Genomic DNA, 26,423 nt, shown 5'->3' with positions numbered 1-26,423 from the left:
CCCATCTCTACTAAAAATACAAAAAATTAGCCGGGTGTGGTGGCGGGCATCTGTAGTCCCAGCTACTCAGGAGGCTGAGGCAGGAGAATGGCATGAACCTGGGAAGCGGAGCTTGCAGTGAGCTGAGATCGCGCCACTGCACTCCAGCCTGGGCGACAGAGCGAGACTCTGTCTCAAAATAATAATAATAATAATTTACTGTAATGTTTCTAGGTATGCATGTTTTTCCCCCTTTTTGGCCTTTATTCTTATCTATCCTATAAACTCTTTTCGTGGTGTTCTTTTGTCTTTAATCCTGGGACATTCTTGGTCATTCTTCAGATATTTTCTATATTAATTATTGTTTATTTTTCTCTCCTTCTGATACTCCTTCTCACACAAATGCAGGCAGAATGTTTCCATTTCTTCTTCCCGCTCCATAGCTAAGCTGTGTGTGTGTGTGTGTGTGTGTGTGTGTGTGTGTGTGTGTGTGTCTTCCCTCCCATCCCTTCCTGATGCCTTCTAGAGGTGTTCCTCTTTCTGATCTTTCTGCTTACTGATTCCTTATTTGACTGTATCCTTTGGCTCCGTCAGTGAGCCAAGATCATGCCATTGTACTCCTGCCTGGGTGACAAAGTGAGACCCTGCTTCAAATTAATTAATTAATTAATTAATTTTCCTAGTCCACCCAACTGTTTTATTTCATGTGTTGTGTTTACTATTCCCTGTGCACATCAGCTACCTTGGTGATAAAGTAAGTGAAGGAAAGACCAAAGGTCAGGCCCTGGCTGTTCTCCACCAGGCAAGTTTAGACAGGGCGTGGGGCAACACCCTCAGAGCATAGTACTTCTGGCAACACTCTCTGGGCTTGAACTCTTCCTATTTGTCAACCCTGTTTGTCATTGCTCCACCAGGGACCCTGCCTTCAGTTAACGTGGTATGCTTCTGATTTGGGTATGTTCTTTTCAAGAGAGTTGTTGGGATAAGGAGAGGGAGGGTGAGCACAGAACCCCAAAGGGGAGCCAATTTCCTACACCAGTTATTTTCTGCTCTCCATCCTAGTCTGGCTACCTATCCAAGCTTACATTGTCCTCCCAGGAGACAGGTGCTAGGTTTTTGGTTGTTTTTCCTGTCTCACAGTTTTGACAGGCTGATACATAAAAAGTGACCAATAAATATCTTCCCAATGTTGAATGAATGAATGAGCACACAGCGTACATAATTCTCAAAAAGTTTTAGGGAGTAAACTTAGGCGGAGTAATCCTTAGGCAGAGATAAGAACAGAATGAATTTTTGTCAGCAGGTTAATTTAAGTGTTGATTTGAGACTTGCAGAAGGTAATAAACAGTAGCTTATGGCACGAGGAATTCTGGTTGCAAAGAACTCTTGTTTGGCTAAGTATGTTTTTATAAGACCACACTGATAAATTATGGCAAGTATTAACTGGCCATAAAGGATCTTTCACAGCAGTTTGTAGCACACTTCTTGACTATCAGGACACTGGGTGTTAAAGCATAGAGTAACTACTTTAGAAAAACTCCAGACAGAGGATCAAGGTAAGGAAGGAACACTAACCAGGGTAAAGGAGAGAAAATTCCTCATTACAAGGAAGCATGATAACAAATGAGGAAGAAAGTAGAATAGGGATATTAAATTTTGAGGTTCATTTTTCTTCTTAGAAGTTACCCAAATGGGATGGTCAAATGCTAATTAAAACAAAATAAAATCAAGCAGGTTTACTAAGAGGGAGGTGAACTATAATGAAATTTTAATGCTTTGAATATTTATTTACACATTGTTTCAAGAAAAAAAAAATTAAAGCCAATGCAAGTGAGTAAATGAGAAACTCTTCTGAGGGCACTTTGAACTCCTGGGGAGATGCCTGGTGTAATTATTATTAGTTTTTTGTTCAGTAGGCTTTCAGGAAACCACTAATTAACCGATGCCACTGAACTCTTAATGAATGAAGCACTCTGAGGCTTGTTAAAAGTGCAGGAGTAGATTACTTAGTTTCAAGTTAGTAATAACTTGCTCCAGGGATCATCACGGGCATCTAGTATCCCTTCCGGACCACTCTCATTACGAGGCATCTGGGATGCCTGGTGTTCTCATAAATGGATACTCCAGGGAGGAGGTCAAGAGGGTCTTCTTACAAAGCCATCTTGAGAAGTTGTCAGTAAAGTTTTTTGGTCACCCTCTGGGGAAGGGAAAGGCAGCTCCTGTGTTCTCAATGAGCTTTGCTCCTATGGGACAGAGGTCCTCCACTGAGTAGGAACTGTTCCCCAAAGATGGTTTAGGGCAGAGATTGTCAAGAATTATCTCTTACAAACTGAACTATTTAAGGGTGAAATGTTAGAATGTCTGAGATTTACTTTAAAATACTCCAAAGTAAACCAACAACCCTCTAAATGCAAAAAATAAAAAAACTGGAGGGGATAAATGAAACAAGATTGGCAAAATGTTGGTGATTTTTAAGGCCTTGAGGGGGTTCATTATACTATTCTCTTTATAATTATATATATGTTTGATAACTTCCATAAGAAAAACCTCTAAGTGGGTACATATAAAAGGATTGTCCATTTCCTATATATATTATTTTAAATCAGTTATTACTCTATGTATTTATTAGAATTATTTCGGTTACAATGAACAGAAACCCCAATTCACATTGGCTTAAACAATAAAGGGAATGTATAGATTCACGTAGCTGAAAAGTACTGGGCAGTTCTAGGTATGAGGTGATGCTTGATCCTACAGCTCAATGATGTTACCAAGGACTGAATTTCTATCACTCTATTCTGCTTTCTATGATGCTGATTTCATCCTAAGGCTCATCTATGTCCCAGTTTCAAGAAGATTGTGAACAGCTACTGGGTTACATGCGTCATCCAGCAAGAGCTGGATTTGTTCTAGCATCTCCAAGAAAAGTCCCAATAGGACCAGCTTAAGGCCATATGCCTAACCCTGAGCCATTGTCTAACCAAGGAGGTAGAATCTTTCTCTTACTGAGGTTGGGTCACATTCTCCATTCCTGGAAACCAGGATCAGGAACCTCTCAGATCTCCAAATGGAATCAGGATTGACAGAGAGGAAAAAGGGTGAAACGGATGTTAGGAGGCAGTCAACAAATGTCTGCTACACTCCCCAAGTGTAAAGCTTCTAGTTGAATAGAACAGAGGGCACTGAACCATATCTTCTAAAACTGCAATAGAGGTGTGAATCTGTGGTCAGAGATCAGGGACCTGGATGGTCTGTAGAAGTGGAAGATTTCCTTAAGGCAGTGTCTGGTGTGGATGGGAATGGTTTTGAGAGGGTAATGTGCTTCATTTTGGAGAGTGTATTTACTTCCGAAAGAAAGACATCATTTTGCCTGGTGTAGGGTGAGTGCTGGGTTTGTTCTCGGCGTCCCAGGCTGTCATCATAAGAATGCACTTGAGCCAGGCACGGTGGCTCACGCCTGTAATCCCAGCACTTTGGGAGGGCGAGGCGGGCCAATCACGAGGTCTGGAGTTTAAGACCAGCCTGACAAACATGGTGAAACCCTGTCTCTACTAAAAATAAAAAAATTAGCCAGGCTTGGTGGCGCACATCTGTAATCCCAGCTACTCAGGAGACTGAGGCAGGAGAATTGCTTGAACCCAGGAGACAGAGCTTGCATTGAGCCGAGATCGCACCACTGCACTCCAGCCTGGGCAACAGAGTGAGACTTTGCCTAAAAAAAAAAAAAAAAAAAGAATGCACTTGAGCACTCTTGCAGTATAATACCTCCATGCTTTGGAGATAATCTCCATCACTAATACTCACATCAGGCACCTACATGCCTCATTTAGCATGGCAATTTGAGAAATATTTTATATTTTTACATTTTTTCCCTTTTACACCAACAAAGCAAAAACATAGTGAAAAACATCTTAATATTTAAAAATATATACACTTAAGATATCTACCTATATGAGATATAGGTATCCATAGAGTTTATTCACATATGTATTAATATACAGGCATACCTTATTGTGCCTTACTTTGTGACACTTCACAGATATTGTATTTTTTATGAATTGAAGGTTTGTGGCAAGCCTGTGATGAGCAAGTCTATCGCTGCCATTTTTCCAACAGCACACACTCACTTCATATCTCCATGCCAGTATTTTTAAAGTGTATATATATATATATATATATATATATATATATATATATATATATTTTTAGACATAATGCAATTACACCCTTAAAGACTATACTACAGGCCAGGTGTGATGGCTCATACTTGTAATCCCAGCACTTTGGGAAGCCAAGGCAGGAGGATCACTTAAGCCCACGAGTTTGAGACCAGCCTGGGCGACATAGTAAGACCCCTATCTCTATTAAAAAATAAGTAAATAGGCTGGGCACAGTGGCTCAGGCCTGTAATCCCAGCACATTGGGAGGCTGAGGGTGGCTAATCGGTTGAGGCCAGGAGTTCAAGACCAGCCTGGCCAACATGGTGAAACCCCATCTCTACTAAAAATAAAAAAATTAGCTGGGCCTGGTGGCAGGTGCCTGTAATCCCAGCTACTTCAGAGGCTGAGACAAAAGAACCACTTGAACCTGGGAGGCAGAGGTTGCAGGGAACTGAGATCATGCCATTGCACTCCAGTCTGGGTGACAGAGTGAGGCTCTGTCTCAAAACATAAAACACAATACAATACAATACAAAACTGAAAAATAAAAAAGACTACAGTACAGTGTAAATATAACTTTTTTATATGTACTGGAAAACCAAAAAATTTGTGTGACTCACTTCATTCTGATATTCATGTTATTGCATGGGCCTGGAACCAAACCTGCAATATATTTGAGGTAAGCATATATATGTATATGTAAGTATGTATATGTATGTATGTACATATATATACGTGTGTGTGTGTGTAGGAGCTAGGTGTGATGGCATGCACCTGCAGTCCCAGATTTGGGGAGGTTTAGGCAGGAGGATCACTTGAGTCCAGGAGTTCGAGGCCAGCCTGGGCAACATATCAAGACTCCCATCTCTAACATATTTATAAAACAAACATACGTAGAGAGAAATCCATTACAACACTGAGCAGTTTAGTTAGATATTTTTCTCATGGTTGCTTGGTCAATTCAGTAGAGTGAGTACTTTGATTTGGTCCCAGAACATGAGGCTGATGCATCATAATGTGCTTTCTTCAACTCAATGGCCTTTGCCCATCTATTAACTCTGCTATGCAGGTGAATTGCCTGAGCTCAGGAGTTCGAGACCAGCCTGGGAAACACGTTGAAACCCTATCTCTATTAAAACACAAAAAATTAGCCAGGTGTGGTGGTGCACACCTGTGGTGCCAGCTACTTGGGAAGCATGAGGCCCGAGAATTGCTTGAACTGGGGAGGAGGTTGCAGTGAGCCGAGACCGGGCAACTGCACTCCAGCCTGGGGGATAGAGTGAGGCTCTGTCTCCAAAAAATAAAATAAAAAATTTTTTTTCCTAACTCTTCTGTGTAACAAGCTGTTGTTCCCTATGCTACTAAATATTTTAGGAATTTTTCTAATGCTACAAATATTTAATTTTGTCTTTGTGAACAGTAAAGATCTTTTACTTTTTGATTGTTTCAAATGCTTTGAAATCATTCAGTTGATTGTACAAATCATGGGCAAATGCTTAGTGTGAAAATTATGTTGGAAGTATACCTATTGGTTTTAAAAATTCAACAGTAAGGATCAGCAGCTACAACACTAGAAAGATGGCAGAGCAAAAGCAAAGAAAAATCCCTTTGGTTCCAGAAAATCTCCTGAAAAAGAGGAAGGCTTATCAAGTCCTCAAAGCCACTCAGACAAAGCAGGCACTTTTGGCAAAGAAGGAGCAGCGGAAAGGAAAAGGGCTCAGGTTTAAGGGACTGGAATCATTCCTACATAATTCCTGGTGGCAGAAATGTGACAAGGTGTGTCTCAGATGACTAGAAATGAAACCTCGTGCCTTGGAATTGCCAGATAAACATTCCTTGGCCTTTGTTGTATGCAGCAAAAGGATTGTTGGCGTGAGTCTACTGGTGCAGACAGCCATTGCAAGACTTCATCTTAAGAAAATTTTTAGTGGTGTCTTTGTAAAAGTCACCCCCCAGAACCTAAAAATGCTGCGTATAGTGGAACCTTATGTGATCTGGGGATTTCCAAATCTGAAGTCTGTCCGGGAATTCATTCTGAAACATGGACAAGCCAAGGTCAATAAGAACACCATCCCTCTGACAGACAACACAGTGATTGAGGAGCACCTGGGGAAGTTTGGTGTCATTTGCTTGGAAGACCTCATTCATGAAATTGCCTCCCAGTGAAGCATTTCCAGGAGATCTCATGGTTCTTTTGCCCTTTCCACCTCTCAGTGGTCCATCATGCTACCAAAAATACAGTGGGCTTCCTCAAGGAGATGGGCACATCTGGCTATTGGGGTGAATGCATCAATCAGCTCATCTGCCAGCTGAACTAGACCCAGGTGCCAAACTGCAGTAAATTTTTATCAATGAAGTGGAAGCATGTGTTTTTGTTTTTTTGAGATTTTTTTTATCAAGTATCTTCAAAGACTATTTCCTGCTTTATCTTCAAAAACTGGAAAGGAAGGGTTAAAAAAAAAGACAGTAGCTTAGGTTCATGGCAAGTACCTCTCATCACAGTCCAGTTCCAAGGAAAAATTCCAGCATTTTCTACATTGGCTGCCTCCTTGTCGGCGGAAGTAGTCCTGCTTTGTTGAATCTTCTATCCTAGGGTTTAATGTTGGTGAATGAGTAACTCTAGCATTTGTACAAGGCTTCCTAAGACTCCGGGAGCAGTCGACCAAGCCCAGGGACATAATTGAATCTGGAGATTCCTGGGTCCTTGTTTTGAAAAAGACTTGAAATACACATAGGAAGAAAGGCCCAAAAATAAATGTTAACTTGTCAAAAAAAAAAATTTCAACAGTAAGCTTTCTTAGTTTCTCCTAAAAGGTGCATCATATCCAAACACTGTAAAGCTTGATTTTTAATGTCAGCGCTAAGATTGGTGCAACTCAAGATTCATTATCTGAACTGTGGCAGAAATGAAAAGTGATTCAGATAGTTTTCTTAAATCTGAAATGCAATGCAAAAGGTAGCTTGCTTAATTCCTTTCACAGGAGGGATTCAGACTAGGCGAACTGCTTTAGGCAAAGTACACGCATTATCAGATTTGGGTGAATCGTACAGGAGAAAAGCCTTACAGACGCTCGACTGAAGAAGGCATTTCAGTACAGCCCAACTACCATTGCCCAGTGGAGGATTAATACATGAAGGAAACCTAGGCATGTAGCAAATTTGGTTGATGTTTCAAACAGTGCCCTCATCTCGGTCCCCAGTGAACCCACACAAGAAAAAGTGACAGGTGTAGAAAAGATTCAGAAACAAAAGTATGCTTTTTGTTTGGGTGGATTTCTACTGGGACAAACAGTAGAAACGTGAAGTATGGGCAAAACTTTGTTTCCCACTTGAGGGGACTTCAGAGAGTCTACATAGGAGAGAATTCAGTCCACAGAGAATGTGGGGAGAGCTTCAGCAAGTATTTATGCACTAGAAAACCTCCAAGAGAAGAGTAACAGGGCAGCCTTCATCACACATGACAGGGAGGAGTGACCAGGAAATGCTGGAGTAAATGCTTCAGTGGCATGACTCAACAAATATTTGGAAAATCCTTTATGAACTCCCATCTTTTGTTACCAATTGTCCATTTGGATAAAAGAGGCTGCTGGGCGTTCTTCCTCAAACTTACCTGGGAAATTAAACACTGTTCTCAGTAGTTCCAAAAGTTAACAGAAACCCTAGGAGTTTTAGTTTTGAGATTTACTTTGATTCTAAGCCCCTCCTGTTCTTCCCCTCCAGTTAAAAGATATCTGAGGTTGGGCATGGTGGCTCATGCCTGTAATCTCAGTACTTTGGGAGGCCAATGCAGGAGGATCACTTGAGCTTAGGAGTTCAAGATCAGCCTGGGCAACATAGCAAGACCTCATCTCTACTAAAAGTAAAAAAATAATAACCCAGGCATGGTGGCACGTGCCTGGAGTCCCAGATACTCAGAAGGCTGAGGTGGGAGGATTGCTTGAGACTGGGAGATCGAGGCTGTGGTGAGCCCCAGCCTGGGCAACAGAGACCCTTGTCTCAAAAATAAAATATATCTGAGGTTCTCAAGGTGAGCTCAAGGTCCAGTCTGCTTAACGGCAGGGAGAACTCTAGGTCTGGGATGGTCCCAGCACTGAACTTAGACTAGTGCAGGGGACAGGTCAGGAGACTAGACGGGGTCAATGATACAGTTCTCTGAAATAACCGTGAAGCCACGGTAAGGCTGCTATCTGAACATGCTAAAATAAAGCATCCTTCTTGTTTCCTGGAAATCATCTGCCGGTTTATGGAGGACATATTTGTGCATTTAGTACTAATTAGTGCATTTAGTACTAATGTTTAAGGCTAAACCTAGGATTATGTGTCTCTCATTTCATTTTTAAAGCAAGCCTCAATAGATTTTAATATCATGGTTTAAGTAATTTGTTCTCATATCATCTGATATCATTTTAGTAATCCAATCTCATCTCAAGCTACAGAAATCCCTTCTTCCACTCCCCACCCCACAAATTCCAAGGTTGTTATGAGACATCATGTTATGTGCAGCAGCTGGGTACTGGCTAAGCTACGACTTTCCCCCTGGAGGATTCTCACTCCACAGGTGGAACTGTCTTGCTCCTGCCTCCCTGCCCAAGTTTCTCCCCAGTTGTCCGTCATCCCTTAGTCCAGGAAGATAGCCACCTTACTGTCTACACTGATCTGGACAAATTTGCTTTTGCCCTATATCTCATCTGTTTTCTGAGGCACAACTCACTGAAGATACAACAGAGGTAGTTAACAAACCATTCTTTGAAATCTCCTGCATGCATATGAGGAAGGCAATCCCTACCCCCTAACCCCCACCATAGCCCATTCATCAATAGCAATGCCTGTTTTGTGCATGAGGCAACGCGCAGGGAGACAAAGAATAAGGGAAGTGGAATAAGGCCAGATAGGGAAGGAGGGTTGCCTTGTCCCCTTGAACTGACCTCCCATAAGATTTGTCCAAGACAGCAATGTCTTTCTTCCCTATCATCTACAGTCTTGGGAGGTCTTAAGTGGTCCCATTAGTGTTGCATCAGCTCAGTTTAGTATCCACGGGAAGCCAGGTCTCTTTTGAGGGCCAAAGGCTAGGCAGAATGAAAATGGAAAGGTCCAGAGCTCCAGCAAAACAGTCACTCCCCCAGCTGCCCTTTTCCAAGCTCTATTAAGATAGGCCAGGTTGGCCAGGTGCGGTGGCTCACGCCTGTAATCCCGGCACTTTGGGAGGCCGAGGCGGGTGGATCACGAGGTCAGGAGACCAAGACCATCCTGGCTAACAAGGTGAAACCCCATCTCTACTAAAAATACAAAAATTAGCCAGGCGTGGTGGCGGGTACCTGTAGTCCCAGCAACTTGGGAGGCTGAGGCAGGAGAATGGCATGAACCCAGGAGGCGGAGCTTGCAGTGAGCTGACATTGCGCCACTGCACTCCAGCCTGGGCAACAGAGCGAGACTCCGTCTCAAGAAAAAAAAAAAAGATAGGGCAGGTTATGCTACAGAAACACATAGCACCAATGTCTCAGTGATTTAACAGAACAAATGTTTATTTCTTGTTCTCACAAAGTTCACTATAGGTCTGGAGACTCTTGGGAATAGCCGCCCTCCATGCAGTGGCTCAGTGTTCTGGACTGCTTTGATTTCATGGCTGCTCTCTCTGTATGTGGTTCCATGATTAAGGCAGGAAAGGAGAGCACTGGCCTTGTACCAGCAAAAAAATAAAAAAAAAAATAAAAAAAAAAAAATGAAAAGCTTCAGCCAGAGGCTCACAATGCTCACAACTCATTGACCAAAACTATCTCATACCCGTCTTAGAGCAAGGAGCAGGAAAGCAAAACCATTCTTCTTACTGTTCACTGGAATACAAGTTCCATGAGGGGATGCAATTTTGTCTCTTGGCCACTCCTGTGTCCTCAGAGTATAGGACAGTGCCTGACACATCATAGGCCTTCATTAAATTGAACAGAATGAATGAATGTAGGGCCAGAAAGAAAGCCACACATGATCTGGGAGAAGAAACAGAATCCTGGAGGTCTTAAGTTAAGGTGGTGCTGGGTAAGAGCTATGTAGACCAGAGCTCCAGAGTTGGCTGTACTTAAGAAACAATTAGTATAGGCTGGGCACAGTGGCTCATGCATGTAATCCCAGCACTTTGGGAGGCCGAGGCGGGTGGATCACTTGAGGTCAGGAGTTCGAGACCAGCCTGCTCAACATGGTGAAACCCCGTCTCTACTAAAAATACAAAAAATTAGCCAGGCGTGGTGGTGGGTGCCTGTAATCCCAGCTACTCTGGAGGCTGAGGCAGAAGAATTGCTTGAATCTGGGAGGTGGAGGATGCAATGAGCTGAGATCACACCATTGCACTCCAGCCTGAGTGACAAGAGCGAAACTCTGTCTCAAAAAAAATAAAATAAGAGGTTTGGAAGAGGTCAGTTATTTAACCCCTTTCCTGATATACCTAAGAGCTCTAAAAGGAATGCACCTGAGTCACTGCTGTAGCTAAACAAGCAAGTTGTAAGAAAATCCATAGGCTATACAGACTTTTGGCAATCCATCAAATTTATCACCTGAGGCTGCTGTTAAATGCTGTGCTGGAAAGAACAAAGACAGGTAGAGCTTACAGGACAGGACAGAACAACATGGATGTAGATTTGCTCATCCTCGCCCAACACTTAGCACCAGTGCCCAAATCTTTTATTTAGGGAACCGTCTCCTGCTGACTACATGTCCAGGTCTCCATGCCAAATGAGCCACAGGATCCTGCCTGCAGCACACACACTCCAACTCCCATGGAAATTAAGTCTCTCATTCTTAACAACAAAGAAAAGCCAATTAAAAAGTAAACAAACAAAACTGAGAAGTTGATCTTAATTCCCACTAATTCTCTTTCAGGCCTTGGGCAAGTACTAATTTTTATAGCTGCTTTATCCTACTGACATTGCAAGGCAGGGATTAACAAGTCTAGTTTCTTTTATTGCAGAAAATTCTTTACATCTAATATATATTCCATGGCTACAAATTCCAACCCGTTTCCCCCATGATTCCATTAGAGATGTCTTCTATTTTCCAAACATCACCAATGAGAGGCATAAGACAGTGCATTAATAGTTCATCTGGAGATTCCCTAGTGGTGGTTAACAAGATTTCATCACAGTAAAAAACTGTGATAACAGGATCCAAGAGAAGTTGCCGAAAAGTTTAAGAAGGAACTCAAGTGATGTCCAACTTTGCAAACCGTGTCCAATGACAAAAGAAAGAAAATCCAATTTGGTTCCTGGAACACTTTACATTGTAATTCATTTCGGCCTCATGAGACTATGGAAATTGGTAAGCCTGCTACTGTGAAGAGAATGGTATGCAATTAAACATGCATGTTACTGCTTTTTGTTTTGGAAGACCATGCTGCCAATGTTTCTATTGGATGTGTTCAAAAATGACTGGAGAGATCAATACAAAGCCAACAATGTTTACTTCTGTGACCACAGAAGACTACTGAGTGGCTGCAGAGCAAGTCTTGATTATTTTCTGTGAAATGTATGTTTATCCCATTTTCTGATGTAAAATTTTTCAAGGTTTGTGATTTTTCTTTTACATAAATTTTAGTGCCAAGCTCCATTTGGTGAATGTCTTCAGAATGAGGACACTGGACAAGCTTCTCTTCACAGGTGGAGTTTCTGGTGTCTAAGAAGGCTTGACCGCCTGCTGAAGTTTCTCCTGCATATGCTACAAGTATATGGCTGCTCACCTGTGTGGGTTCTCCGGTGTTTAATAAGGTGGGAGTTCTGACTGAATTTTTTTCCACATTCATGACATGTGAAGGGCTTTTCTCCTGTATGAGTTCTTTGGTGTGTATGTAAATTTGTATTTTGACTGAAGCTTTTCCCACACCATGAACATTTATATGGTTTTATTCCTTGGTGTGTTGTTAAGTGCTTATTAAGATCTGAACTCCATCTAAACCTCTTATCACACTGTTGACATTTATAGGGTTTCTCTTCAGTGTGAATTCTTTGGTGCTTAATAAGGTCAGAGCTAACTCTGAAGGTTTTCCCACATTCCTGACATTTAAAAGGCTTCTCTCTTGCACAATCTTTCTTGTGACGATCCATAAGTTTGAGCAGCTCTTGTTTCCAGGTTGAAAGTTTCTTTCTTTTCTTCACTGGAAAATCTTGGTGCCATTTTCCCACTCTGTGCATATCAAAATGATTTTCTTTGCCTGCTGTTTTCTGGGGAACTTTTACTTTGGCCTTTTTTGATATGACGCCTGCTGATGCTTGTATTTCTAAGTCAGAAAGAGACACAGGCTGATGATTTTCAGTGTCGTTTTTGAGCTTTAACCCTGTTGGAATAAACATAATCACACATCTGTATCCCAGAACAAGCAAATCACAGGAATAAAAAGAAAAATTCAATGATTAAAAAAAAAAGGAACAAAATCTTAAAATGTTAAGCCCTTGCAAAAGTTCACATCAAGGCACATTTCTCCACTTCCCATGGTATATTTACCTGTAGGAGATTTTCCGGCACTATCCTTAAACTCCGGGGATACTTGAACCCATGGCTCTTCCCCTTGCTCTAGACAGGAGATCACTTTAGGTTTGGGGAGCACAAACAATGCTGTCAAATGGACAAAATGAGGTCAAGGACTGGTAACTTAACAGTGAACTGGTCCACTAATCCCAGACTGTTTCAGGATGACCAAAGACATTTTACAATTTGTTACTCCAAATGGTTAAATGGATAGACTCCAAGATTAAGTATCACGTTTATACTATGTTATACTTATAGGTAGCTATGCAAAGCAGAGACTAAGAAATAAATCTACGGTGGATCAATGAAAAGGATATAGGGAATGGGAATCCAGTACATGTTCTCTCTCTTTTGCCATCAATACCCTATATCCAACCAAGGGGGAACCAAGCTCCAGAAGTTGCAGGGAATATAAGCTGGTCTTATTAACTCTTCAGAAGGACTCAGCCTGGATAAGACCAGGTATGGCAAAGCCAATGTGAAGGACGCTGACTTGAGTATCATAAGCACAAGTGATTACTATTATAATTACAGCTACTTTTTATTTAGCCTTTATTCCTTAGCCACTGGCCCTCAACTAGGATAGATTTCTACCATTCCTATAGATTACTGGTTCATATGCAGGTAGAAGAAATAGACCAAAATCACTTGGTGAAGTTTCTCTAATTACGGATTACAAGGTATGAAACTCTCTCACTCATTCATTCAACAAACATGTATTGAGTGGCTATGGTGTGTTAGGCACTGCTCGAGGGCTAGGGATATAGTAGTGAAGAAGACCCCTGATTTCACGGACTTTACATTACAGTAGAGGGATGGCACAATCAATCAATAAACAAAATAATGTCAGGGAGTGATAAATGTTTTAAAGAAAATTAAATCACGGTAAAGAGTATTTAAGATTCTGCTCCTGTAAAGCTATTTTAGATAAGGTCTTGTGGGACACCTCTTTGAGAAAGTAATACTTGAGCAGAAACCTAAAAGTGAGTTTTGTCACATGGCAGAAAAGTATGCAAGGCAAAGGAAAAGTAGAAATGAGCCTGGCGAGTTCAAGTAACAGAAAGACAACCAGTGTGGCTAAGGACTGAGTGCACAAGCGCACCAGTAGCAGGACACATGTGCAAAGAACTCCATAGGAGCCAGACCATGGAGGGTCCTGAGGCCTTGGTAAGAAGTTTAGATTTTTCTCCAAATATGGTTAGGAAGTAACCACAGGCTTCTGAAACAAGGAAATGCAACGATCTGATCAGGTTTTCAAAAAATCAGTTGGGGTTCTGTGTAGAAAACAGACTGTGGGAGGACAAGAGCGAAGGCAGGGGGACCTGTTAGAAAGCTACTGACATTGATCTGCTTCAAGATGACACTGGCTTAGATCAGGATGCTGGCAGTGCAAGGGGCTGAAACATGGTTGCAGTCAGGATATGTCAAAGTAGAGCTAAGAAAACTTGCTAATGAATTAACAGTGGGGTATGATGGCAAGATCAGGGTAAAAGATGACAGTACTAGCTGGGCACGGTGGCTCACGCCTATAATCCCAGCACTTTGGGAGGCCAAGGCAGGTGGATCACAAGGTCAGGAGATGGAGACCATCCTGGTTAACATGATGAAACCCTATCTCTACTAAAAAAATACAAAAAAAATTAGCTGGGCATGGTGGCGGGCACCTGTAGTCTCAGCTACTTGGGAGGCTGACGCAGGAGAATGGCATGAACCCGGGAGGCAGAGCTTGCACTGAGCTGAGATCGCACCACTGCACTCCAGCCTGGGCGACAGAGCGAGGCTCCATCTCAAAAAAAAAAAAAAAAAAAAACATGACAGTACTTTGTTTGCCCTGAGCAACTGGATAATGCTGATGCCCCTTACTGAGATGGGAAAAACATGATGGAGAAGGTTTGGGGAAAGGGAAAGGGAAGGGATCAAGATCTCCACGTAGGACAAGGAATGAGCACGTACATCTGGAAAAGCTCCCCAGGTGATCTGGATACACCACCTACACCCTCCGCTACACTATCTAGTTGAGAATCAACCAGCTCCTGGAACACTGAGACCCTCTCACAGAGGTTCATTCTCAGTAAACTGAGAACAGATTGCTCAACTTCTACACAAAAAGAAGGGAGAATCTTTACCTAGACAAATGACAGTCTTACAGTTTTCCTGCATTACATCATTGTAGAGGGCCTTCTGAGTGTAATCCAGTAACTCCAATTCTTCCTGAGAAAAATATATGGCCACTTCTTCAAATGTCAACAAGCTCTAAAGAAGAGAATGGACTTCAGCTCTGAACTTGCCACTGCAGAAGCAGCCTAACTGCGTATGAACTGCATGGTAGGCCAGGTGCTAAAGAAATTAACAGAATACGATTTAAGAAAAAAAAAGGCGGGGGCCCACGGGGGCGAAGGCAGAAGAAAAGGAGCCAAGGGATCAGCAAACAGCCTAGGAGGTACCCAGTTCCCTCTGGGCCAAGCCTAATTGTCCAGGGTAGAACCTCTGGGGCTAACATGCCTCAGGGCACATGCTGGGCAGTGTGGGTCTTGGGCAGCAGGGAAAGGCAGATAAGGTCATGCTCAGGTAGCCCTACACTGCTGGAAAGCACAGCTCAACTGGGACTGAGGCAAGAGGAGCTCAGGTGCCACTGTCCAGTCTTTGGTGTTTGTCTGCTCAGGAAAGACTAAAATCTGTTGAGCAGGCACAGCTGTGGGTGGAAAAGAGCCAGAGGATATTTCTCTTGTTTCTATGATCATCCTTAGCTCATTTCTAAAATACAGAAAATCCTGATTCTTTCTGGAAAGATAGGACACCTTTTTAAGAGTGTGTATGGTAACCACTTGGTTCTTTGTAAATTAGAACCAAGTGTCTACCAGCCCCTAGAACCGGTTCCCCAGATGATTATCCTCAGTTTTCAAGAGGAAAGTTAATAAAAAGATATATATATATAGCGTTTTTTCCCCTTGCATGATATACATTTTTCTGAGTTGAGCAAAACTTAGATGTACTCAATTTGAAAATGAAGTATTCAGGAAGCCCAGTGTGCCAAATAAAATGAAACAAGAGGGTAAAAATGAACTTGACAAATTCAATTAACAGCAAGGAGACTAGCTAAGTGGCTGGTGAGGACTGAGCAAGGGCTTCAGTAGCAAATGAGGGCAGACAGATGAGCAGGAACCAGACTGTAGAGTGTCCTGGAGCCCTGGTAATATCAGACTTTTTTTTCTGAATGTAAGTGACCACATGCTTTTGAGGAAAGGAAATGTCATGATCTGATTAGGTTTTTAAAAGATCAATCTAGCTTCTGTATAGAAAACAGACTGTGGAAGGGCACAAGGAGATGCAGGCGCACCTGTTAAAAAGCTACGCATGTATGCCTGGTTCAAGATGACACTGGCTTACACCAGGATGCTAACAGTGCAAGAAGATGAGACATTGTTGCAGTCAGGATATGTCAAAGTAAAGCTAAGAAAACTTGCTAATGAATTAACAGTGGGGTATGATGACAAGATCAGAATAAAGGAAAACTGTTACTTTGTATGCCTTGAGCCACTGGATAATGAATGTGCCCCTTACTGAGATAAGTAAGACACAGAAGAGGAAGTTTGGTGGAAAAGAGAAGGAAAGGATAAAGGACTCAATGTGGGATAAGCAATCGGCATGTACATTTGGAAAAAGCTCCACAGGTGATCTGGATACACTACCTACACCCTCCCCTATACCATCTAGATGAGAATCAACCAGCTCCTGGAACAGTAAGACACCCCTCACTGGGGTTCCTTCTCAGTAAGCCAAGAATAGAGTACTCAACTACATAAAGGGAAGGGAAAATCTTTACCTAGAGAGATGACAGTCTCATAGTTTTCCTGCATTACATCATTGTAGAGGGCCTTCTGAGTGGGATCCAATAACTCCCATTCTTCCTGGGAAAAATACATGGCCACTTCTTCAAATGTCAACAAGCTCTAAAGAAGAGAATGGACTTCAGCTCAGAACCTGCCACTGTACAGAAGCAGCCTAGCCACCTGGCTATGAATTGGCCAGGCGATAAAGGAATTAAAAGAACATGATTTTTTTAAGTGAGAAGGCAGAAAAAAAGGAGAAAAGGCGTCAGCCCACAGCCTGGGAGGTACCCAGTTGCCCAGAGAACACCCGGGACTAACACACCTCTGAACCCCTCCTGGACAGTATTAATCATACATAGCAGAGAAAGGTAGCCCTCAACAGCTGGAAAGCACAGCTCACCTGGGACTCAGGCAAGACGTGCTCAGGTGTCACTGTCCAGTCTTTGGTGTTTGTTTGCTCAGGAAAAGCTAGAATCTGTTGAGTAGGCACAGCTGTGGGGGGAAAAGAGCCAGAAGAAATCTCTTTTATCTATAAACATCCTGAGCTCATTTCTAAAACACTGATCCTGACTTTTTAAGTACAGATGGGACACCTTTACACGTGTGGTGTGTGTGATGCCTGAAGCAGTCTCTTCATAAATAAGAATCAAATATCCACCAGCCCCTAGAACTAGTTCCCCAACTAAATGTTTCCTCAGTTTTCATCAGAGAAATAAAAGGGAAATCCCTTTTTCCTCTCATATTTTTCTGAGTTAGGCAAAAATTAAAGATATCTTAAAATGAAGTACTCAGGGACTCCACTGTATGGTAGGAGATGAAGTTTTTTGTCTTTTATTATGTTTTTCCTGGTACACAACTGTTTTCACATTCTGCCACTAACAGCCCATCTGATCTCAATTCCTTCTGTATTTTACAAGGATGAAGTGGCCCCAAGCCTTCCCACTCCATTTCTTTCCTTCCTCTCCACTAGTCTAAGGAACAGAGTTCACACTGTTATTACCAAGAGTTCTGTGGTTTAGATATTTCTGTTCTCTAGGCCTACTCCCACTTTCATCCACAGTTGGCATTTCTACTGCTGCCTGGAAGGACATCATAGTTGCTATCAAGGCTGGTTTTACAAATCCACAGAGCAGGGTATTCAAAAAATGCCCATGACATTTTGGGTGAATAAACTATTATCACAGCTCCCAGGAGAAGAAAATTATCATGAAGCTCCTTACCCCTCTCATACACAGGCTCAGTCTCTTTATGAGTATTCCTGCTGAGCTGTTCTTGCAGACCCTCGTATGTATTCCAAAATTCTTCATCTTGGGATACGCCCACTGGTTGGGACTCTGTTGGCTTCAGCCCGAAACTTGAGGCCTCTGCTGTTTCTCCCAAGAGCACTGCCTCCTTTCCCAGCTCATGGACTGCAACCTAGAAATAATTCCCATCCTTGTTACCACAGAACTTACTTTTGGTTTGTGGGGGTGGAGGCAGAGCGACAGGTGTACAGCCCACATTGTGGGTAGTATAAGACACTAAAAAAAATGACAAAAAAAGGCTTAAAGAGATACTGGGCCACCAATGCTCCACAAATGACTATACACAAATATGAGAAAACTAGGGTGAAAGGAAACAAACTGTGGTGCCTGCCAGCCCTTTAACACAGCAGCTTCTACTCCTCTGTATACGGTCTAGGTCAGGCCACTGGCAGGGTTGGGCAGCCCACTCATTTTTTTTTTTTTTTTTGAGATGAGTTTTGCTCTTGTTGCCCAGGCTGGGGTGCAAAGGCATAATCTCGGCTCACTGCTACCTCTGCCTCCTGGGTTCAAGTGATTCTCCTGCCTCAGCCTTCCAAGTAGCTGGGATTACAGGTATGCACCACCACGCCTGGCTAATTTTTGCATTTTTAGTAGAGACGGGGTTTCTTCATGTTGGTCAAGCTGGTCTCAAACTCCCAAACTCAGGTAATCTGCCCACCTCAGCCTCCCAAAGTGCTGGGATTATAGGTGTGAGCCATTGTGCCCAGCCAGGCAGGCCACTCATTCTAATACTGTCTTGTCAGGCCTTTTCTGTTGACTTCAATCCCACAGTTGTGGTTTTCTGTCTTCTAGTTTTCTCTAAAATTCAAATAAATGAATTTAAAAGTTTTCCTGTCAGCCTGATTATCCCTATAGCCAGCGAAGGTTTTCAGAGAATGGGGATAGAATGGAGAAAAAAGGGGAGTGGCTCCAACCTACCTCCAGATGATTCTGACACCAAACATAGGTCCTGCCCTGTATTCTTCCCAGCAGACCCGAGGTCAGCAGATGTGTCGCCACCCACCAAGTTCATACCCTGGCTCCCAACTTGTCAGCAGAGCCAAGGAACAAGCATTAAGGGAAGGCAGTAGAGACTTTCATCTACTATAGGGAGGACATTACCCATCAGTGCATTTCCTGTCCTTGGCTATTCTGTTGGGATTTTTCTTTTTTCCAAATCTTTGTTTCCCTTTTTTCTATGTTTTCTTTTCTTGTGCAGTCTTCCCCTAGTTGTTTTTTTTGTTTGTTTGTTTTGTTTTGAGACGGGGGTCTCACTCTGTCACCCAGGCTGGGGTACAGTGGTACAATCATGGCTCACTGCAGTCTCATCCTCCCCAGGCTCAGGTGATCCTCCCACCTCAGCCTCCCGAGTGGCTGGGACTACAGGCACACGCCACCATGCCCAGCTGATTTTTGTATTTTTTGTAGAGACTGAGCTTCACCATGTTGCCCAGGCTGGATTTTTCCTAATTTTTAAAAACATTTTTTTTTTCACATGGAGTCTCGCTCAGTTGCCCTGGCTGGAGTGCAGTGGTGCAATCTCAGCTCACTGCAGCCTCTGCCTCCCGAGTTCAAGCCATTCTCCTGCCTCAGCCTTCTGAGTAGCTGGGATTACGGGCACACGCCACCATGCTCAGCTAGTTTATGTATTTTTAGTAGAGACAGGGTTTCAGCATGTTGGTCAGGCTGGTTTTGAACTCCTGACCTTGTGATCCGCCCGCCTCAGCCTCCCAAAGTGCTGAGATCACAGATGTGAGCCACCACGCCTGGCCTAAAACATTTTTTTTTTTAAGAGACAAGGTCTCACTCTGTTGCCCAGGCCAGAGTACAATGCTGCAATAATAACTCACTGTAGCCTCAAACTTCTGGGTCAAGCAATTCTCTCACCTCAACCTCTTGTGAAGCTGGGACTAGAGGCATGTGCCATCAGCCTGGCTTATTTTCTTTTTTTTTTTCATAGCAACAAGGTCACACTATGTTCCCCAGGCTGGTCTCAAGCAGTCCTCCCACCGCGACCCCCTAAAGTGTTCGAAATATAGGCATGAGCCACCGAACCTGGCCAATTTCTCCTTTTCTTTAAGTGTCCTTGTTTTCCTGTGTTCTCCTTGTGGATCTGCCTTTTTTTTTTTTTTTTGACAGGTTCTCACTCTGTCACCCAAGGGAGTGCAATGGTGCCATCTCAGCTCACTGCAACCTCCACCTCCTGGGCTCAGGTGATTCTCCTGACTCAGCCTCCCAAGTAACTGGGACCACAGGTGTGTGCCACCATGCCTGGCTAATTTTCATGTTTTTTGTAGAGACGGGGTTTCACCATGTTGCCCAGGCTGGGCTCAGGGGATCTGTCTGCCTTGGCCTCTCAAAGTGCTGGAATTACAGGTGTGAGTCACTGCACCCGGCCCGTTTTTTTTTTGTTTTTTTTGTTTTTTTTTTTTTTGTGAGATGGAGTCTTGCTGTGTTGCCCAGGCTGGAGTGCAATGGTGCGATCTCGGCTCACTGCAACCTCCCAGGTTCAAATGATTCTCCCTCCTCAGCCTCGAGGATAGCCGGGATTACAGGCACCGGTCATCATGCCCAGCTAATTTGTTTATTTTTGTAGAGAGAGGGTTCCACCATGCTGTCCAGGCTGGTCTTGAACTCCTGACCTCAGGTGATCTACCCGCCTCAGCCTCCTAAAGTGCTGAGATTACAGGTGTGAGCCACTGCATCCAGCCTCCCTGACTCTTTATTACCTTTTATTCTGTTTCTAAGTACTTAAGTCCTGTCTCCTTGGCCAAGCCAGACTAGGCCCAACACCCTCAATTCACCCTGGCTCCAAAGAGGGCAAAAGCAACTCTCTTTCTCTAAGGCCAGGGAAGTATCTACCACAATCTCTGAAACCTGTGAACTTTTCTGTGGGCCTGTAGTTTCAAGTCCCACCTTAACTGTCCTTAAAAAAAAAACCAAACAATGACCTACCTAATCCATCTAATTTCTCAACTAACTGCCACCATCTCTACTATATCCACCTGCATCCTATTTCACTGTACATGTCAGGAATCTTTCTTCTCACCCCATTCCATGTTTGACCAGATTCCCTCTGCAAGTGTTCTACCAGAGCCACAGCCTCCTCAATGCTCTGTGGATGGTGCTTCTGCATCTGGGTCTGTGTCTCCCTGGGCAGAATAGTCAGGAACTGCTCCAGCACCAGCAGTTCCAGTATCTGCTCTTTTGAGTGGATCTCTGGCTTCAGCCATAGATGACATAATTCTTGAAGTTTGCTGACAGCCTCACGGGGTCCACCTGCTTCATCATAGGTGAAATTCCGGAAGTGCCAGCAAGAGCTCTTAGGATCGAGACAGTCCATTTGAGGAGATTTTTTACTCTGACCGGAGCTCTCTCTTGCAGGCCCCTTGGTCTCCCACAAAGCCCTGATCTGAGGGTCCAAGTACGCAGCCACTTTCAGATCTACCATCATCATTCTGCTCTAGGAAGTTCTGCTCCTGTGTTAAGACACCCAATTGGTACCACGTTTAACAAATGAGATCCTGTCTGGTCTTGTACAAAAGCAATAAAAGGATCTTCTTCCTAAAAGCACTGAGGACAAGAAAAAGAAAAGTATGTATCAATAAGAAACTCACATGAACCTCATCACTTGCGACTTATGAGAGAAAGAAGAACAGAAAAGGTGTCCTGTCTTCCCTTCAAAATCAACTAGCAGGCCCTTTGTTTTTCTCCTTTTCTATTATTCAGCTGAAGCACAGCACAAAACACACAAATGTCAGTGGACAACTGTCTTTTTTATAAAAAAGAAAACAATTTAGGAAAGATTGGTGGGTAAGAAAATTGGCACCCACTGGCTGAAAGGTATTTTGGGATTTTCCAAGGATTTAACTGGTGTGCCTCCTATCCCATCTTCCCCATAAGAAAAGAATAGGAGAAAATAAGATTAGGAAAACATTCTGAGATTCTCTTAAATTTCAACAGATCATCCCAGTCTGTCTCTAGTAAGGGGAGTACAACTTTTATGACCCTTCATCCTCTTGTGAAGATGGAAGCCTTCACTTTAAAAATATTTTAGGCCAGGTGCAGTGGCTCATGCCTGCATTCCCAGCACTTTTGGAGACCGAGGTGGGAGGATCACTTGAGCCAGGAGTTTCAGACCAGCCTGAGCAACATAGCGAGACCCCGTCTCTACAAAACACAAAATTTGAAGAAAAAAAAAAAAAATAGCCAGGATGGTAGAGCACACCAGTAGTTCTAGCTCAGGAGGCTGAGGTGGGAGAGTCGCCTGAGCCCAGGAATTCAAGGTTGCAGTGAGCCATGACCTCATCACTGCACTCCAGCCTGGGAGTTAGAGCAAGACTTTGTCTCTAATTTAAAAACTAAAAATAAAGGCACCTTAAAAAACAACATTTTAGATTTTCCATTGTAGGAATACTGGCAAAAGAGCTGAGACGGTGAGATCAAAATACAGTAGTATCCCTTCTCCAAGGGGGGTAAGTTCCAGTACATTCTGTGAATACCTAAAACCCCCAACAGCATCTAACTGCATTATACTATTTTCTCTATGTATACATAGCTATGATACCTTAATTTATAAATTAGGTACAATAAGAGATTAACAATAAAACACTGTAGTAAGAGTTATTTAAAACTGGCGGTGCGCCGTGGCTCATGCCTGTAATCCCAGCACTTTGGGAGGCCTGACGTGGGTGGATCACCTGAGACCAGGACTTCAAGACCAGCCTGGCCAACATGGTGAAACCTTCTTTATTGTAAACACAAAAATTAGCCAGGTGTGGTAGTGCGCGCCTGTAGTCCCAGCTACCCAGGAGGCTGAGGCAGGAAAATTGTTTGAACCCGGGAGGTGAAGGCTGCAGTGAGCTCAGACTGTGCCACGGCACTCCAGCCAGGGCAGCAAAACGAGATTCCATCTCCAAAAAAAAAAAAAAAAGTTATTTAAAACTTATGAACTGTTTATTTCTGGAGTTTTCCATTTAATATTTTTTGGATGGCAGTTGACAGCGGGTAAGTGAAACCCAGATACAGTGGGGGGAGGGGGTACTACAGAAAGTAAAAAAGTAGCCTATTTTCAGACAATGTCTCCCAAGTAAGCAACAAGATGCTCATCATTCTTTGCAACACACATAAAGGGTGCCATGCAGATGATTTATACGAATTTTGTTTTTTTTTTTGAGATGGAGTCTCGCCCTGTCACCCAGGCTGGAGTGCAGTGGCGTGATCTCAGCTCACTGCAACTTCCACCTCCCCGGTTGAAGCCATTCTCCTGCCTCAGCCTCCCGACTAGCTGGGATTACAGGCGCGTGCCACCATGCCCGGCTAATTTTTGTGTTTTTAGTAGAGACAGGGTTTCACCATCTTGGCCAGGGTGGTCTCGATCTCCTGACCTCGTGATCCACCCATCTTGGCCTCCCAAAGTGCTGGGATTACAGGCGTCAAACACCGCGCCAGGCCTATATGAATTTTTAACTGTGCTTACTTGATCTGGAGAAAATTACAGCTGACCTCTGTTTACAAAATATCAACTTGTAAAAAAGGATATTTTATTTACAAAATATCAAGTCGTATTTTCTTTCTGTCGCTGATGTTTATGAAATATCAACTCCAACAGGAGTTGGTGACGATGAAAGTGAAACTTTCTGCTGACTTTGTATTTCTCCAAAGGTCATTTAGACTTCTAAGGGGGGCTGAGGAGAGCCGTGAGCCTCACTTTTCCTGAAGTGAGCCAGCAGAAACGGCACCGAAATTCTGCCCAGGATGCCACCGGTATTCAAAGAAGTGGCCAGCTCCTTGCTGCCCACCCCGGTTCCAGAAGCAAAGAGACACTTCCTATGTTTTTGCATCAGTAGAAGCTGCTAGCCCTGAGGCTCAACCGACCGCATGACATCGGCCGGACACGGAAATGCCGGCGGAGGCGGGAAAGAGTCTGCGGGCGCAGCTGCAGGCACTGCTGCCCGCCAGCACTCGGATTCGCCACAGCCTGTGTCTGCGACAGGCGTGCCCGTGGGCACTGGGCAAGCGGGCAGTGTCCCAGCGAGCTTCAGCCGCGCCTCTGGGATACAGCTGCGAAAAGCGGGGAGAGAATGGTTTCTCGTGCCCGACGGTGGCCCCGCCTCAGGCTCCAGCCGCGCGGCCCGGAAGCGCCGCGGCCACCGCCTACGGAAAATGGCTGCCTCCCTGCGGCCGCCGCCGCTCCAGCGGCTCCAGGGTCGAAGCCATAGGGGAAGCCGCTTCTCGGTTACCTCGGCCAGCTTGGCTTCCGTGGAGGCCGCTCCTCGCTTTCTGAGGCTCAAACGCAAGCCACCGCCCGAAAGGCCGCCGATCTGAGGAGCGCAACCGCCAGCCCACCGCTGGCCTACCGCAGCCCTGTCCAGGTACAGAGCCAGAGCGCCGGCCGGAAGTGGAAGTGACGCTTTCCGAGGGTGGCGCAGGCCCGCCCTCTGGCTAAGGCGCCTGAGCCCGGCCTACTTCCTCGCCAGAGAAACTGCTGTCTTCCCCGGCGGTAGGGAAGGGTTAATGCCACCGAGTATCCAGACCCGCTGAAGCCTAGAGGGCCTTGTACCGGCTCACCGCGTGGCTGTCGCTGTCTCGTGTCCCCAGTGGGGGAGGCGTCGCACTGCCGCGTCTGTTCTGCGTGGCTGTCGGGCGGCGTTTGGTCCCGGGAGCCTCGCCGGGTAAGGGTCGCCTCCCAGCTGCGCGCGCCGCGTTCTCGGGCTTCCCGCGGCCCGGCCGGCCGTGCTCGAGCTGTTGCTGGGCTCGTCGCCGCCTCCTCGAGGAAGAGGCATTTTGTCCGGGTCGGGCCACTCGCTAGGTCAGAAACAGCGGCCCCCCGAGGGTTTTGTACCGTTTTCTAGGTCTCGTGACGCATTCCCCACAACTATTTTTTCTTGAGGTAGGTTTGAACCTGTGAAATAGGTTCTTTTTCTATCTCTCCTTGACAGAGAAACGGAGACCTAAGAAGTGACTTGCTCAGGGTCACATAGCTCAGCAGTGGCGGCCGCTAATCGGAAATAGCTCTCCTGTTGTGGTATCCTCTGCGTTTTCCACTCCAGTATTCTTCCCTGGAAAATGGGAACCTTGTTTTCATCTTATATCTCATGCAGCGCCTAACATAGTCACCTGGTAAGATAGGCATTCCACACATATTTACTGAATCATAGTTATAAGAATCTGAGTGTTTTGGGTGTTCAGTGATCTCTGAATTAATCCGTTTTTGTAATGTCAGTCTGTACCAGTTGAGGGATTATTTAATAAGTCCAGTATGAGTGGTTTCGGAATTACCAGTTTTTGTAACGTCAGCTTATACCAGTCAAGGGACTATTTATTAAGTCAGCTATGTGTAGCCAATATTGCAGAGTTGAGTAAGAAGTCTTTGTCCTTAAGCAATCTCTTGAAAGGACTGAGCAATTTCGTGAATATCAGTAACACAAGGGTAAGAATAGGACATAAACTGAATGCTGTGAGAACTCCAAGAAAATCCAAGTTGATTTGGGGTTGGGGGAAATTATAAAAGACCTTGAGGGATTTTGTCCACAGCAGGGAATGGAGACACTTTCCAGGCAGAGGGAAGGGTAGGAGTAAAGGCTTTAAAAGCTGGAAACATTAGACTGTGAGATCTTAGGTACGTTTTTACTGAGTTGGGCTGCATTTAGAGGAAGAGTTTTAAAAGTTAGAAAACGAGTTTATGTGGCACTTATACTGGAGTCCTTTGAATGGGAATGAAAAGAGTGCATTTAAGAAAGTAAATCCTGGCCGGGCGCGGTGGCTTACGCCTGTAATCCCAGCACTTTGGGAGGCCGAGGCGGGCGGATCATGAGGTCAGGAGATCGAGACCATCCTGGCTAACATGGTGAAACCCCGTCTCTACTAAAAAATACAAAAAAAAATTAGCCGGGCGTGGTGGTGGGCGCCTGTAGTCCCAGCTACTCGGGAGGCTGAGGCAGGAGAATGGCGTGAACCCGGGAGGCGGAGCTTGCAGTGAGCCGAGTTCACGCCACTGCATTCCAGCCTGGGCGACAGAGCGAGACTCCGTCGCAAAAAACAAAACAAAACAATACAAAAAAGTAAATCCTGGAGCACCATTTGAGCGTTTTGGACTGAGCTGCTTTCTATGGCAGTTCATCTAAGGTAAGTTTAAGGTGAGAATGAAGATGAGAGGCCATTACCAGGCCATTATGCTATTTTTGCTTTTGGATGGGATGGTATGTAACTCCTCTTAGGCATAGATCTTGATCCTTTTTAAGTGAGAGAGAAAGATAAACAGATTTAATAATGAGCATCTGCCTAAGTCACTTGAATTTGTGTCTAAGTAGGTTCATTTCCTTAAAATCTCAGCCAGGTTGGGACTTCATTTCTTCAGCAGTAAATATTCTCAGTCTATCAGAACCAGTGGACAGTAGCGCCATCAGCATTAAGATTCTCATCACCTGGCCCAATGCTGAATATATAATTAGAATTTATTAAGTTGAATAAGTGAAGTTCTGCTAGCAGTGCTAAGCAGTGCCCTTGGATATCATTGACAGGCCTGATTCATAACACAGGAAGTTGGTTAAAGGGAAAAGGGATTCATGGGAAAAAGAGGCAGCAAGGCACAAATTGTGAATAGTGAATAAGAGGCACTGGTGATTTTCATTGTGTGAGGTTTGCTGCCATAGTGGCTTATCCTT

At 44.2% G+C, this 26,423-nt stretch overlaps 3 protein-coding genes and 1 pseudogene across 21 annotated transcripts in view, besides 1 other annotated feature; 2 read left to right on the top strand and 2 right to left on the bottom strand.

Annotated features, from left to right (window-relative positions):
- The window catches only part of OR2C1 (olfactory receptor family 2 subfamily C member 1), a 35,207-nt gene extending 28,495 nt beyond the window's left edge, over positions 1-6,712 (bottom strand). The window contains exon 1 of the mRNA XM_047434179.1: positions 6,630-6,712. The gene's annotated coding sequence lies outside the window, so the exon portion shown is untranslated. The remainder of the gene's footprint in view (positions 1-6,629) is intronic.
- Positions 5,693-6,611, top strand: RPL7L1P19 (RPL7L1 pseudogene 19; annotated as a pseudogene).
- Positions 6,178-24,146, bottom strand: ZNF75A (zinc finger protein 75A). Of its 19 annotated transcripts, none has more exons than XM_047434587.1 (7): positions 23,309-24,146; positions 20,807-21,330; positions 17,695-17,890; positions 16,875-16,966; positions 16,468-16,594; positions 12,621-12,731; positions 10,792-12,453 (listed from the first exon to the last, which is right to left on the bottom strand). In XM_047434587.1, exons 2-7 carry the CDS (start codon positions 21,212-21,214, stop codon positions 11,774-11,776), a joined length of 1,614 nt encoding a protein of 537 aa, XP_047290543.1. In that variant the 5' UTR covers positions 21,215-21,330; positions 23,309-24,146; the 3' UTR covers positions 10,792-11,773. The 19 variants fall into 19 exon arrangements, with proteins under 19 accessions (XP_047290549.1, XP_016879134.1, XP_016879133.1 ...); XM_047434589.1 differs by having other exon boundaries at positions 17,695-17,994; positions 18,697-21,330; positions 24,000-24,146; XM_047434590.1 differs by having other exon boundaries at positions 17,695-17,994; positions 19,813-21,330; positions 24,000-24,146.
- Positions 24,123-24,652: an enhancer, noted in NCBI's record as "H3K27ac hESC enhancer chr16:3354991-3355520 (GRCh37/hg19 assembly coordinates)". NCBI's record gives its function as "activates a minimal SCP1, AML or CMV promoter by ChIP-STARR-seq in primed H9 embryonic stem cells {active_cell/tissue: H9 hESC(primed)}" and the evidence as "EXISTENCE:reporter gene assay evidence [ECO:0000049][PMID:30033119]".
- TIGD7 (tigger transposable element derived 7) overlaps positions 24,213-26,423 on the top strand; it is a 6,623-nt gene continuing 4,412 nt past the window's right edge. The window contains exon 1 of the mRNA NM_033208.4: positions 24,213-24,431. The gene's annotated coding sequence lies outside the window, so the exon portion shown is untranslated. The remainder of the gene's footprint in view (positions 24,432-26,423) is intronic.

The sequence above is a fragment of the Homo sapiens genome, chromosome 16, assembly GCF_000001405.40.
Source record: "Homo sapiens chromosome 16, GRCh38.p14 Primary Assembly".
Classification (NCBI taxonomy): Eukaryota; Metazoa; Chordata; class Mammalia; order Primates; family Hominidae; genus Homo; species Homo sapiens.
This window is presented reverse-complemented; position numbering and strand designations above follow the sequence as displayed.